The sequence below is a fragment of the Homo sapiens genome, chromosome 2 (genome assembly GCF_000001405.40).
Source record: "Homo sapiens chromosome 2, GRCh38.p14 Primary Assembly".
In the NCBI taxonomy this organism is placed as follows: Eukaryota; Metazoa; Chordata; class Mammalia; order Primates; family Hominidae; genus Homo; species Homo sapiens.
The window spans coordinates 47,988,970-48,005,395 of NC_000002.12; the positions used below are offsets into that span (position 1 = coordinate 47,988,970).

A 16,426-nucleotide genomic window follows, 5' to 3' on the forward strand; every position below is an offset into this window, starting at 1 on the left:
CTAGGCCTTCCCATTCACTCACCTCTCACTCACTAACTGAACTCACCCAGAGCAACTTCCAGCCTGCAAGCTCCATTCGTGTTAAGTGCCCTATACAGGTGTGCCATTTTAAAAAGCTTTTTATAAAGAATTATTACTATACCTTTTCTATGTTTAGATACAAGATATTTACCATTGTGTTACAGTTGCCTATAGTATTCAGTACAGTAATATGCTGTACAGGTTTGTAGCCTAGGAGCAATGGCTATATCATACCCTCCAGGTGTGTCTTCACTCAGACATGATCAAGTCCCCACTCTACCCCTTGGTCAGTGTCTGATTTTAGACCAACCACTTACTCTCTCTGTGCTTAAGTTCTTATCGTTATAATGGCAGCAGCTGCCTCATAGATTTGTGAAGAATAAAAAAGTTACCCCACACCTACTGTTCATAGCAGCGATGAATACATTGTAAGTACACTTTAAATGGTACACATTCATATATTGGAAACCTGTTAATAATAGAAAAAACTTCAGCTAATATTTCTAAGTGTGAAACTAATGGTCAGTGAAGAATACTGGATTTTAGTTGACATTTTAACTGTAGCACAGGCCTCACGTTCCCCTGCGGGTCCTCTGGCTCTGATGATAAATATCGGTCTGTGGGAACTGACAGAATGGCTGCCAAAGATCTGGCAATAGGAAGGATCTTCTTATCACAGGCTGTGCTTCAAATCCTGGGGAATTTCTGTTTTCTTTACCGTTATCTCTTCCTTTACTTCACTGGGCTCAGGTTAAGGTCTACAGAGTTGATTATCAAGCACCTGATTGTAGTCAACTCCTTATTCTTCCTCTCTGGAAGAGTTTGGCAGATAATAGCAGTTTTGGGGTGGAAACCTTCCCTGAGTGATTTCAGATGCAAACTTCTTTTCTATGTTCACAGAGTGGCCGGGGGTGTTTCCACTGGCACCACCTGCTTCTGAGTGTCTTCCAAGGAATCACTATCAGTCCCAGGAACTCCAGGTGGGCAGAGCTGAAAGTAAAAGCTCCTAAGTACATTGGTTCCTCCATATTCCTGTGGTGGATCCTCTAAATTGTGGTAAACATCTTTTTTCCTATGTACGTGACTGGCAAATTGAGTAACAAAAACATCACAAAGACAAAAGATTTAGGATACTACTCTCCTGTTCATCCTGACAAAAGCAGAGAGTCACTCCGTGCCACATTGCTACTGTTCCCAGATGTTTTATGTTTGGGGATCGTGCCAGTGGCATCATGGCTTTCATTCTTTACAGGAACAAGCAGCAAGTCCAATACATACATAGGACCAATATCCGCCCCCAGATTCTTCCCTGAGTCCAGAGCTACCAAAACCATCCTCCTTCTGGTGAGTACTTTTTTTTTCAATCAACTTTATGCCTGCTTCTTCAACTTTCAAGTTTGTTTAGCTCTTTTTAATACTCCTGGTTGGCTGATGGTGCACATTTGTGTAACAACCAAGTCAAGTTTCCCAAATGTCAGCCCTTTGTTCTTAGGAGCAGAGACTCCAATGTATTCAAGCTTTGCTTTTTCTGGGTAAGTAATACAAAACTCCCTAATCTCAGAAATGTGTGAATTATATGTGTATGTACAATCTAAGTCTGTATAGGTACAATCTATGATGTTCTCACAATGATGACACCTAACAATCCATTGCTGAGAATGTATCCCCAACATTAGGTGACATATGATTGAAGTTCTATTATCATTGCTGACATCATCATCATCATCATCGTCATCATCATCATCACCATCATCATCAATACGCCTGTATTCCAACATAATGTTGGAAGAGAGGACAACTAATGCCTCTCTTAACCTTCTGTAACTCAGAAGAAAAGGGCTCAGAAGCCAAGGAAGAAAAAGCAGCCAGTCCAAGGCTCAGATCAGCTGCTGGCCCCACAAACTCCATATATACTGTAGGAACTTGATTGCCTTTTTAATTGCCCAGACAGAATTCTCATGGATTGGCCATGAGAATTTTGGCTCGATTTCACCCGCTTTTATTGAAACTGATAAAAAGAAGTATATACAATAAAAGTGAATTTTTAGACACAAATATCAAGGTTTATCAGGCCCCAAGCCCTTTCCCCAAGTCAGTCCCCAACTATGACTGTAAGCCAAGGTGAGCAGATATTGTTAAAAGAAAGGTCACCTCAGGCACACACACAAAATAAAGCTGCATAACAGGCCTTCTAGGGGCCTCCTCCCTATTTACCAAGGCTGTGTTCCTTATAATATAGAAATCATGCTTTGTGTGTACAGAGTTAGGTGTAAAATGTTCATCATGTCCAACAACTGGAGAAAACCTATATGCTCAACAGTGGGAAGACAGGGAAGTATAAGTGAATTTTGAAACATTAAAAAGGATGCTACAGAAAATGAATTGATGGGGGAAGGTTTTCATGATAAATTACTTACAAAATAAGGCAGGGGGCATTTTATATATTTGTACTATTTCTTTTTGGTTTTAGATATGTTTAGTCTTGAAGGAACTATGTATAGTTTATTTGGGAAGAGAAAGGAGATTCTACTCTAAGCCTTTTGGTATATTTGCATGGATTGGCTTATCAGGCTAGCTAACTGTAGAAGGCACAGACATTTTGGAGCAACGTGAATGAGGCAGAGAGTGAGAATGGCTCCACTTGGGAAGAGGAGGGAAAGGGCTTGGGGAACAAGCCTAGATCACATAGAAGCAGTGCTGCCTGGTTAATGGGGGAAAGTGCAGATGGAAAACTCGGTGGAGTAAATGAAGGCTTGGTGTGATGCACCAAACTCCAGACTTTGAGCCCTTCTTAGTTTGGAATAAGTATGTGGGGTAGTAGGGTAATGTCAGGGCCTGGGCTCCAGCTGATATGAGGTGGGATAGGAGCGACCCTGTGATGTTTCTATTTTGGTGGTATTGTTTTGACCTCTATATTCTTTCTTTAACCTACTTGGTTCTGAGTGGGGAGACTTGACTGTCCCCTCTTGAGTATCTTAAAGCCCAGGAGTGATGCAACAAACATCAGCTAAAAGAAAACAAGTGGGTTGAGAGGGAGGGTGATAATGGCGACAACACATATACGGATCCTTTTCTCAAGTAGCAGTTCACTGCCCTAAATGTACTGCCCCAGGTAGAAGGTGGGTTAGGATTCAGAGCCTAACATCAAAGATAGGGTACTTTGTTTCAACAAGTTAAAAAGAAACTCATGGTGTCACTGCAACTATATCTGAAAGGTGTTGGCAGCTTCAAAGGGATTCATTAAGAGATTTTCCCATTAAAATACTTGGAAGTTTACTAAACTGCATAAAGGTGCTTTTATAAAAGCAGGCCCAGGAGGCATTTTAATAAAGACCTCCAGTTAGATAACTGGACCAAGAGAGCTGTGATAAAGGCTTGGAAGGGAGAGCAGTTTGTTGTAATACATCTTCAAGGGTGAAGTTCTTAACCCTTCTCACCTCGGCTTTCCCTTCTTTAAAATGGTAATAAGAATACCCAGCCTAAACTGGGTGCTGTGTGGAGTGCCTGTTGTCCCAGATACTCAGGAGGCTGAGGCAGGAGGATTGCTTGAGCCCAGGAGTCCAGCCTGGGCAACATAATGCAGACGTTTGCTCTAACAATAAACAAACAAACAAACAAATAAAATACTCAGCCTTACAGTGATGTTGAAAGGATTAAATACTATTTTTATTTATTTGTGAACAAAGTCTATTATTACATTGTCACTAATTAATGTTAATTCTTTTATAGGTAATACAAAAGGTACTCAACATTACCATCTGAACCAAAATCTGTGGCACTTGGTTTAGAAAGATCCTAGGTTTTCTCTCAGTGACTCATACCTAAAAGACAAGTGATAGAAGAGGAAGGTTCAACTCAACCCACTCCTCAAGGCTCAGAAGGATGAAAATGGTGAGATGTTCAAGGAAGGAGGTAGTCAGAAGGTCAGGATTTGAATAAGAATGGAAATATTTTCTCATCCCCATCATGTTCAAGTGATACTTGGTCTTAAGAAGTGAAACCTATAAGGTCTGATAAAATTTTGGAGCTTTCTGAAAGAGTGCTCAAAAAAGATAAGAAAGAAGAGAGGAGCCATTGTTGAAATGACATACACACACTGTAATAGTGAACCCTGGACAAAGAGATACACCATGATTACAATTTGGCTTCCAGTCCAGAGACCAGTTCAGCCAAATACTTTGTTCATGTTTTTTAAAACTCAGTGGCGAGTACATAAAAATGTCTGCAACCCTGAAGAGGTTGTTAAATTCTTTCTTAAGAACAAGACAGAAAGGAGAAGTGATTTACTGGAGTAGGTTGCTGGGTTTTTTATTTTTATTTTTGCTCTTCTAATTCCCAAGCCCACAGCAGCCTGTCTAGTTGAATCTTGATTTGTTTTTGTCTTATATGAATGTGAACATCCATCCTCCCAGCAGAGATGGTAAATAGCTGTACACATGTCTGTCATGAAGTAGTTCATAAATAACCATCATTTATGGGGCTGGTGGGAGGGCAACCTTTGGGCTTACAGAACTACCTGCAGAAACATTGTTCTGTGAAGTTTTTTTGTAACTAAAGGAGAAAAAACATTGATTTTTGTTGTGGTTGCTTAAAAGTATTATTTTAAAGTAATACATATGTGCAGTAAAAAAAAAGAAGTTGCTATGTCATAGAGTGGCATTAAATGAAAAGACTGTGTCCTGTGTGGTATCCACTTCTCTGCCCCAGCGGTATCCACTTATGGATTATAAGTTTTAGGTTACACAAATCATGCGTGAACATGATTGTAAAAATTTCAAACCATACAGCATACAGATAAGCTTGAGTCCCTCTTGACTATCACCCCAATTACATTGCCCTTCTCAGAGGTAACCACCATTGTTAACACTGATTGGTTTTCTCCCAGATCTCTATGATCTTTATAAGTATGCATGTTTTGGTTTTTATTTTACAGAAATGGTACACCACATTTGTTATCTAGCTTCTTGCTTTTTTGACTTAACAATATGTTTTGAGCATCTTTCCATGTCAGTAAATATATCTTCATTTTGCTTCTTTAAACTGCTGTACACTATGAATGTGGGATAATTTATTTATGTACAATAAACATTTAGACACTTCCAATTCTTTGTTATTACAACACGGAGCTGCAATGAACATCATTGTCCCTACTTTTTGGTATATATGTGGAAGTTTTTCTCTGAAATAGATAAAAAGTATCAATTTTCAGTTTGTAATCCCGGCTATTCAGGAGGCTGAGGTGGGAGGATCACTTGAATCCAGGAGTCGGAGGTTGCAGTGAGCCGAGATGGCGCCACTGCACTCCAGCCTGGCAACAAAGTGAGACTCCGTCCCCTCCCCCACAAAAGTATCAATTTTCAGTTATTTGTATTTTTAGTTTTGTGGTTTTTGTTTGTTTGTTTTTTGAGACAGGGTCTCATTCTGTTGCCCAGGCTGGAGTGCAGTGGCGCAATCTCAGCTCAACCTCTGTCTCCCAGGCTCAAGTGATTCTCCTGCCTCAGCCTCCCAAATAGCTCGGACTATAGGCATGTGCCACCACGCCCAGCTAATTTTTTTTGTATTTTTGGTAGAGACAAGGTTTCGCCATGTTGGCCAGGCTGGTCTCGAATTCCTGACCTCAAGTGATCTGCCCGCCTTGGGCTCCCAAAGTGTTGGGATTACAGGCGTAAGCCACCACAGCTGGCCTATTTTTAGTTCTTTTGTTGGCTAGTTATCATGATCATTTAGAACAATATGCCAATTATTTATTTCTTGATTTACCAAATATAGATCTTATCAATTGACTTCTTACTAGGAAAGATGAGGAATTTAGCCATATATATGATGTTTCACTCCCAAGTTTTATTAATTATATTTTTATTATTGGCTCTTCTATTGATTACCTTTACAACTTTATAGAAGAACTTAAGTGTCTAGTTCTTATACAGTCAACTTTAGGCAATATCTTTTCATTCTCTATGATTAACAATGAAGATATTAACATTTCTACTTCATCTGCTCTTCTCTTCTCCCAACCTGGATCAGTTATAGTACTACTTTTCCTCTGTCCAGGTGTATAAATTTTCCATTCTATTCTATAATTATTTCATTACTTCTTATACAACTGTGCCTTCATCTTTTATGTGCTTTTGGGGCTACCAAATGCGCTGCTTTTACCTGTAAATTAAATCTTAATCACTCTCTCTTTTCCAGAAAGTCATCAAATTCACTGGTATATTAATGGATTCTCCCTTCTATTCTTTTTTGTCTATCTTTAATATTGTTTCAGTAAGAATTTGGATGAAGGGATTGTAAATGCATGAGTCCAGACATCCATCTTGAACCACACAAAGCAGGAATTTTAAAAAGATCCTCTTTAGTATCGCTGTTTCTTTTAAGGCATTTTCAACATTTCATGGCAGCCAGTTTAAGCAAACAAGGCAATTCGTAGTTTTTAATTAGCTAGAGACAAATGAAAGTGATCTATAAAAACCACAGAAGCAAATCTTAAAACCCAGCAAAAATGGTGTTCATCACCGATTCTGTTACAAGACACCTAGTTTAAAAACTTACCTCTAACTCTTATCTGTCATCTTGGATAACAAGGGGAGGGACTGGGGGAAACCCCAGTGATCATAACGGAGCTAGGAAGATAGGTCGTTTAATGGCGCATGCTGTACTGGGGCTGCCTCCGAGAACTGGCACTGCTCACAGTCCAGGGAAAGGCAGTGATTCCGAATTTGGAATCCAGGAATTCTGACACTTCAGAGCTGCATGAGTTTTCGCTACTTAATTTCTTAAGTTTCAGCTTCCTTATCTATAAAGTAGGAGTAATAATAGTGTCCACCTCATAGGGTTGTTATGGGTATTAAACAAAAATACACGTAAAGCATTTGGTTCAACGCCGACAAATACTAAGCATTCAATAAACGTTAGTTGTTTTTATAATGGACCTTGCATTCTGAATATCACAGTCCTTTATGGAATTCCAGAAGGAAACAATATGATCCCGACCCTCCATGGAGCTCCTAGTCTAAGATGGAGATGCGGCCAATATTTTCACTCATGGCAAGAGTTTAATGGATATCTGTTGGATAAGGAATTGGAAAACCCACTGGTCCAGATGGAAGAGATAGCTCTTCCTTTCAGCGAATACTCAGTCTCAGGGAATTTCTATTTCTTAGGGAATATGTGAGAAATAAGACATATATTATATAAACAAATATGGAGTACATTTAATCACAGTTCACTCATATAATTCTTTCCGCCAATATTTGTTACTCTTTTCTATGTGAAGAAATTATGTTAGAAAATGTAACAAGATATACTTCCTGCCTTCGAAGGGATTAAAGTCTAGTAGATAAGATTTATACACAGAGCTAAATACATCAATGTGAGGACATTACTGATTAACTGGGGTAAGGCAATTTTCCAATTTTTCACCTCATTCCCATGTCCGAGTCCTCCCTCCCCTCTTTGGTCACCAGCTATCTCTTATGATGTGTCTGTAGCAATGTTTATTTCTGAGGTCATAAAAAATTCATGTGACCTGTGTCTGAAAAAAAATGGGATAGGTACATAGCTTCCTACCTCCCTAGATAAATCCATGGGTTTAATCTCCTTTTAGGCCAATGAATTTCCCAGAGACTACACATTCATATTGACCTCCTAACCCTAACCATTCATCGATTTCTTTTCTATGTGATAGAAACCTTTCACTTCATTAGTTATCTTATTAATACATACCTATGGAGAAGTTGGGAAAAGTCTTCTGCTTGTACTTTTTCTCCACCATCACCTCAAAGTCAGTGTGTTATATTTCTGGAGGGAGAAAATGGTGTGAAGAAAAAAAAAGTGAAGCCAGACACACATGGGTCCAAATCCAGTCTATCCCTTACCATAGTAATGGAATTTTTAGCTGGCTATGAGGTTGCCTGGAGTAGAACAAGCCCTCCTTGTCTAGGTAAATAAATTCTGGTCAAAGAGATGTAGGTGGAAGCAGTGGTATGCTGGTAAATGTGCAGCTGGCTGTACACACACACACTGATCGCACAGTGGTGAGATCATGACTCCTGCAGCCTTGACTTTCTGGCCTCAAGCGATCCTCCCACCTTAGCCTGCTCGGTAGCTGGGACTACAGGTGAGTGCCACCATGCCCGGCTAATTTTTACAAAAATTGTGTAGAGACAAGGTCTTGCTTTGTTGCCCAGGCTTGTCTTAAACTCCTGGGGTCAAGCAATTCTCTCTTCTCGACCTCTCAAACTGCTAGGATTATAGGCATGAGCCACCATGTACTGCCCAGAAGGGTTTGATTAATTTTTGCTGAACTCTTACATCTGTATGCAACCTATGCAATTCCACCATGGCTTGACAAATGGAGTTGCATTCCAATTCACTAAGTCTTTCCCTAATAGTTGTATTGTTATTAAACCTGAGATGTGATCTACTATTAAACTATTTTTCACCCTTGTACAAATTATATTCATTAAATGGAAATCTCAGCTTCAGCACTATATATCAGAACTTCACTTATTTATCAGTGAGGGAAGTGATTTCTCTGCTGAATTGAATAACAATTTCTAAATACTGGAATAATATTTCCTTAATGTTTTATTCTATTCATAATGTAATCGTTACAGACACACCATGCTTTTAAGTTGAATCTACATTTCTAACATTTTTCTCTATCATGTTCTTAAGTTTCGACCATCAATAAAGTAGTAAATCAAACCCTGACCTGCAGCAGTTGCTGATTTCTATGGTGCAAATATTCCCATCATGTCTATGTTCAAACTGCCAGGAGGTCACTGAACACAGAGTTGGGAAGAAATATGCAGTGTTTCTACCATATGAATGCAATAGATCTTTTGTATCTTTATGGTTATTTGGAATACTTCTCTGAATTGCCTATTCATATTTTCTTATCATTTTTCAATTAGGTTGTTTCTTTTTCTCTCACTTGTAAGAACTCTTTGTATATTATCAGTCATATGTATCATTTGTCAAAAGAATGTAAACTCCATGAATGCAGGGATGTTGTTTGCTTTATTTAGCACTGAAATCCCACAGCACCTATCACATAAAAGTTATTCAAGCAAATATTTGTTAACTGAATAAATGTGTTGCAAATATTTCCCCAGACAATCACTTGTCTTTTTACTTTTATGCTTATGTTTTTTGCTATACAAAAATGTTAAATTGTATGTTGTCAAATATGTCTGCCTTTTTCATTTATTGCATCTGAGTTTTCTGTCCTATTTAAAAATGTTTCTCTCATCTCAAGGTTGATTATTCTCCTAAATTTTCTAAAAATTTTATTTACTTTTTTGCTACATTCAAATCTGGAATCCATCTGGAATTTATTTTGGTATACGACATGGATTTCTTCCAGATGGCTGGCCCATTGTGCCACTTCTGTAAATAAATTACTTTTCTCCACTAAACTAAAATTCTACCTTTATGGTACATTAAGTTTCCATGTATACTGGACTCTATTTATGGTTCTTTACTTTGTTCTCTTATATATTTGCTTACTTCTGGACCTTTGTGGTACTCTTTTGATGCACTGACTTTATGGTAATTGTAATATAATAACATGCTGCAAATTGTAGTATTTGCCATATATTATTCTGAGGAATTTACATTAAATCCTCACACAAACTGTATGAGGTAGGTACTATAAATATCCCCATTTTACTGATAATGAAAGTAAGGGACAGAGAGGTTAACAAACATGCCCAGCATCATACCACCACTAACAAGCAAAGCCTTAGTTTAATCCATGCATTGTAGTTCCAGAGTCCATGTTCTTAACCGTTATGCCAAAGTGCTTCCCTGTACAGCATGTGACCCTTTACTTATCTTTTTATTTTTTTTTTTTAATTTTAATTTTAATTTTTTCGAGGCAGGGTCTGGCTCTGTCACCCAGGCTGGAATGCACTGGCATGAACACAGCTCATTGCAGCTTTGACTTCCTGGGCTTAAGCAATCCTCCCACTTCAGCCTCTCATGTAGCTGGGACCACAGGTGCATGCCACCATGCCTGGATAATTTTTATCTTATTTTTACTTATTTTGTAATTTTGAAAATGGATGGGCTCTCGCTGTGTTGACCAGGCTGGTCTTGAACTCCTGGCCTCAAGTGATCCTCCCATCTCCGCCTCCCAAAGCACGGGATTACAGGTGTGAGCCATCATGCCTGCCCTAAATTTTTTTGTAGAGATAAGGTGTCACTTTGTTGCTCAGCCTGGTCTTGAACTCCTGGGCTCAAGCGATCCTCCTGTCTTGGCCTCCCAACGTGTTGGAATTACAGGCCTGAGTCACTGTGCCCAGCCTTGTCTTTATAAAAAATACATATTTTTTACCTGTTCTTGGTACTTATTCTTACATGTTCCTTAAAATAATTTTGTCAGTTCAAAAATTAAAAAAACTCTATTGGAATTCTGATTAGAATTGCATTAACTTTATGTATTAATTTTGAGAGGCACATATTTTTATAAATTAGGTTTTCCATTTAGGTACATGATAAACTTTTCTGTATGTTCAAGTCTTATTTTATGTATTCTTCATTAAGATTTTATAGTGTCTATTATACAGGTCCTATACCTAATAACATTTTATCAAAATATTTTTTAAGTTTTGTCACTGTGAATGAAATTTTCCCCCACTGTGAAAAGTATAGAAGAAAACTTATCAATTTTTTGTTCATGTGTGTGTAATGTGTGTATGTGTATACATAGTGCTCACTCATCAAATTCTCTCATTAATTTTATAGTGTTTTACATTTTATCACTTAAGTTTTCTAGGTTCACAATTACATCCCTTGCAGTCGAAATAATACTGTTCTCTGCCTATCTTTTCCTTCCTTCCTTCTCTCCTTCCTTCCAACTTTTCATGTGAGAATATAATCCCAGGTTGCCATATCATTCAGTCTTTTAAAAGGAACTAGATAGGCTCTTAGGAGGATCTGGAAAAAAAAATAATAAAAGGAATTACAAACTTGATTTTAATATTAGATCTTCTAATTTAAATATTGTTTTGAATTTTGAAAAGTACTTTTCAGGTCAAACAACAAAAGGCTAGAAGATGCCAGTTTTTTTTTAAATTTTATTTTTATTGAGATATTGTCCTTTATTTTAACATATTTGCAGTAACTATATATTTTTTTACACTCTATGCTATTAGCTATGACCTTCAAAATATTGAGTTTTAATGGTGATAGCATTACTATTTGGTTTTGCTTTTAATAGCAATGGCTTAGTAAATTCACTTTTTAGCATGATTATTGCTATTAATTTTTGGTAATAGGGCTTATCATAATTAAGTAGTTTTCCTTAAGTCTTTATTAGAAATAGATGTTGATATTTTTCTCTTTTACTTGTTAATAACATTAATTATATTGATACATTTGCTACACTTAACTCAGTCTTGAATTCTTGGAATAAACCTAACACACCATGGTGTATTATATTTTTTGATATACTAATAAATTTAATTTTTCATATTTCATTTAGATTTTAAAAATCTTCCTCATAAGTAAGATTGGTCTATTATGGTCATTTGGGGGAGGAGTTCTATTTGTATGAGGTTTAAGTATTAAAGTTATGTTAGCTTCATAAAATAATGACTTTTACATATTTTTAATTTGTCACCACTAGACCAGCCCTACAAGAAATGCTAAAAGAAGTTCTAAATATTGAAACAAAAGTTTGATATGCATCAGTATGAAAACCCCTTGAAAGCATAAAACTCACAGGGCTTATAAAACAGTAATACAATGAAGAAAATAAAGCAACCAGGTAACAGCATGATGACTGGAACAGTACTTAACATATCAATATGAATGTTGAATGTAAATGTTTCTACATGCCCCATTTAAAAGATACAGATTGGCAGAATGAATTAAAAAAACACACAAACCAAATATCTGCTGTCTTCAAGAGACCCACCCAACGTGTAAAGATTCTTACAGGCTCAAGGTAAATGGAAAAAATATTCCATGCAAATGGAAACCAAAGGCAAGCAGGAATAGCTATTCTTATATCAGATAAAACAGACTTTAAAGCAATAATAGTAAAACAAAAAAGAGAGAACGATAAGGTCTTTATATAATGATAAAGGGATCAATACAACAAGAAAATATAACAATCCTAAATATATATGCACCTAAGTCTGGAGATCCTAGATTCATATAACAATTACTACTAGACCTAAGAAGAGAGATAGACAGAAACACAATAGTAGTGGGAGACTTCAACACTCCACTGACAGCACTAGACAGTCATTGAGGGAGAAAGTCAACAAAGAAACACTGGGTTTAAACTGGATTACAGAAGAAATAAACTTAACAGACTTTTACAAAACATTCTACTGACAAACTGCAGAATATACATTTTTCTCATTAGCACATAGAACATTTTCCAAGATGGACCATATGATAGGCCACAAAACAAGTCTCAATAAATTTTAAAACAGAAATCATATCAAGTATCTTCTCAGACCACAATGGAATTAAACTAGAAATCAATTCCAAGGAAAACCCTACAAACTTTACAAATACATGGAAATTAAACAATTTGCTCCTGCATGATCTTTGGTTAAACAATGAAATCAAGATGGAGATTAAAATAATTTTCAAAATGAACAACAGTGAGACAAATTATCAGAACCTCTGGGATATAGCAAAAGCAGTGCTAAGAGGAAAGTTTATTGCACTAAATGCCTGTGCCAAAAAGACAAAGATCACAGATTGACAAACATAACATCACACATCAAGGAACTAGAGAAACAAGAACAAACCAAACCCAGAGCTAGCAAAAGAAAAGAAATAACAAAGATCAGAGTAGAACTAAATGAAATTGAAACAAAAAAATATATAAAGGATCAATGAAACAAAGAGTTGGTTCTCTGAAAATAAAAACAAAATGGATAGACCACTGGCTAGATTAACCAAATAAAGAACAGAGAAGATTCAAATACACTCAATCAGAAATTAAAATGGAGACATTACAACTGACACCACAGAAATACAAAGATCATTTGAGACTACTGTGAACACCTCTATGCACACCGACTAGAAAATCTAGAGGAAATGGATAAATTCTTGGAAACATACAACTCTCCAAGCTTGAATCTGGTATGAGATCATTTAAATAGCACTGGAATAACTGATTATTTAAAAGTTAGCTATAACTTAATTGCAAGACTGTTAGAACCTACTGACTTAAAAAACATAGACCCTTAATTACCTTTAAAACTTTAAAAAAGCATAATTGGTTTATATGAATTTCCTGTTTCTTCTTGGGACAATTTATATTTTTATAACCAGTGTGTTGAACAAAAACTCCTGAGTGAAATTTTGCTTTTCAACTGTCCCTTTAATCCTGCCCAGTGGGGTAGTCTTGGATAGGTCTAACTTAGGCAGGTCTTAGAAAACAGAAAGTTCAAAATCACCCAGAGTCACAAAAACAATCCCAATTGTTTAATTACACTAGTTCAAAACACTAATTAACACTTAGTCCTCTTTAAAAGGCATGACTTTTCCCCTGCTTTTCCATCTGGGGTAGGCAGTAAGTAGGAGAATGTGCTCAGCTTTCTTTGGTTGCTGTAGTTGCTGCTGCCACTTTGTTCTTTTGTTCTTTTTTTTTTTTCAGGGGGAAAATATATAACTTTATTTTAACATAATAATTAAATTCCTCCACAGAATAGGGACACTATGGGATTTGTTTTTCCATTTAATAAATACAAATGAATAAAAATTGTTTTGTACAGAGAATGCTTCTTCTCTCTCTCCATGTCTCATAGAAGCCTGCAGGCAATTACCTGCCCCTCTGGGGCCTATGATCACAGCCCCTGTATATTCACACAAACCACTTTTCTTTACCCTGTGGGCTACATCTCATTTGCCTGCAAATATTACTTAGGTACAATAACTCTCCTTTCCACATCTTCCAAATACAAGTTCTTGTACTGCATTTCAAATTTTCAGGGCTGGGCACGGTGGCTCACACCTGTAATCCCAGCACTTTGGGAGGCTGAGGCGGGCAGATCACCTGAGGTCATGAGTTCAAGACCAGCCTGGCCAACATGGTGAAACTCTGTCTCTACTAAAACTACAAAACTTAACGGAGTATGGTGGTGCTCGCCTGTAATCCCAGCTACTCAGGAGGCTGAGGCAGGAGAATCGCTTGAACCTGGGAGGTGGAGGTTGCAGTGAGCCAAGATCACGCCACTGTACTCCAGCCTGGTGACATAGTGAGACTCTGTCTCAAAACAAACAAAGAAACAAACAAACAAAATAAAACAAAAAACCCACAAATTTTCAGTGATTACCTTCTCAGAAGGAAAGAATCCAGCATCCACAGAAGCCCAACATGGATTTCCTTCAACCAGTAACTGTCAACCATGACATTATGTGTGAGGTCTCAGTTAAACAGACTACAGTCCACTGGATCTATTCTGAAAGAGAAGAAAAGGATCATGTAAAATCTACTGTATGCTTCATAAACCATCCCTTATTTGAAAAATAGAAATTCCTATTTAAATTTAACCTGTTTGAAATAGGCCAAATATTTGATTCTGCATGCAATAGATCTGTTGCTGCTTAGAATGTGACTTCCTGACCCTGTGCTGCTCAACTGGCCATGTTAGAGAACATTAGAATCACATCAAAATCATAAGTCACAAAAAAGTGGTCTGTCTCCAGCCTGGGGCCAGGGGACCCCACATGCCTACCTCCACAAGCCCATTCACGTTTGGGGACAAGGCACTCCTCTGTGCTCTGAGCTAAGTAATGGCAGAGTCCCTCTGTGAGTTTTGAAGAATGATTTTGTGCCAATAGTTAAACTTCCAGTGCAACAACAAAAAATGTACAAAATGCTAGAGCTTCTAGTTTTTAGATTGGAAATGAAAAACTCCTGTAGATCCAGAAGAAACTTTTACTGAAACCTTAAAGATTTCACTTGCACCTGCTGTAGTAAAGCACTAGTAACTAAGACACAAATGTAAAATTTTGATAAATGTGATCAGGAAAATACTACCAGTCTTTGTGACCAGCAATAAATTTCTTTTCTATATGCCCCATTTCTTATTAATCCACATTAAATAAAAAGGCAATTCCTGAAAGTATTTCTAAGTGTGATGGTTTGTAATACAAAACAAATGAAAAAGATGTAACTAGATTATAAGAAAAACATTTGCTTGTAAAATATGAAATAAGAAAGGGGCCCAGCACAGTGGCTCACACCTGTAATCCCAGCACTTTGGGAGGCCGAGGCAGGCAGATCACCTGAGGTCAGGAGTTCAAAACCAGCCTGGTCAACATGGTGAAACCCCATCTCTACTAAAAATACAAAAAAAAAAAAAAAAAAAAAAATTAGCCAGGTGTGGTGGCAGGCGCCTGTAATCCCAGCTACTCAGGAGGCTGAGGCAGGAGAATCACTTGAACCTGATGGTTCAAGGTGGAAGTTGCAGTGAGCCTAAATGGCACCATTGCACTCCAGCCTCGGTGACAGAGTGAGACTCCGTCTCCAAAAACAAAACAAAAAAACAACAAAACAAAACAAATAAACAAACAAAACAAAGTAATAAAAAGGAAGCGATGGATTCCTCATGCGTGCACAGAGGGAACTAGGAGGGACCTACAAAGAGCACCCCAGCCCTTTCCCTGTGATGTAGCTACAAGGTCTCATTTCTTCGGAGGGAACATGGTTGGTATTCCATTATCTTCTGGAAGCCTGGCAGGTACAACCCCTCAACACTCCAGGCAGGAAGAGAATTCACAAGAAGTCATGAACTGCTGGGTTTGCTGGTGCTTCAGCTGGGAGAGGTAGTGCTAATAGCTTTGACAGTCTACCTGAACCACCTTGTGAGGAATGCTGTAAAATTGCAGTAAGCTGTCAGTATTTTACATAAGCTGCTTTGTTCTTGCTCTTGTTCTTGTTGTCTTCTTCCTCTCTCTCCTCCTGCTCTTCTTCCTCTTCTTCTTAACATTTTTTATTGTAAAATAAAACACAAATATGGAAATTTGCATAAAATAAACATATTAATTAATGAATTACTTGTAAGACAAACACCCTTGAAACAATCACCCAAGTCAGGAAGTAGGACTTTGTCGGCCATCCCAGAAGCCTCATCCATGTGTCTCATTCCTGTCACACCTCTCTCTCCCTGCAACCACCATCCTGACTTTCAGAGTAATCACTTTCTTGTATTTTTCATAGTTTCATCACCTATGGTGCATCCCTAGACATGATTGATAGATAAGTCTTGTCTATTTAACATTTTTTTGCATGCTTTAAAAGTAATTTTTAAACTGTAGTTCCTCCTCCATGTCTTTCTTTTTCTTACAATTTGTCTTTTAAACACCCAAGATGTTTCATTTGTAGCATTTCCCAAGGTCTGGATGTTGCTGACTGCAAAGTCATGTG

At 37.5% G+C, this 16,426-nt stretch overlaps 1 long non-coding RNA gene and 1 pseudogene across 1 annotated transcript in view; one reads left to right on the plus strand and one right to left on the minus strand.

Moving 5' to 3' along the window:
* Window positions 1-16,106, minus strand: part of LOC105374591 (uncharacterized) — a 62,688-nt gene extending 46,582 nt beyond the window's left edge. Inside the window, exons 1-3 of the long non-coding RNA XR_001739454.2 lie at window positions 15,853-16,106; window positions 14,331-14,456; window positions 7,747-7,821 (exon numbers count right to left, since the gene is read on the minus strand). This is a non-coding gene — a long non-coding RNA (uncharacterized LOC105374591). The remainder of the gene's footprint in view (window positions 1-7,746; window positions 7,822-14,330; window positions 14,457-15,852) is intronic.
* VN1R18P (vomeronasal 1 receptor 18 pseudogene) lies at window positions 656-1,592 on the plus strand (annotated as a pseudogene).
* Window positions 16,107-16,426: the final 320 nt, after the last annotated feature.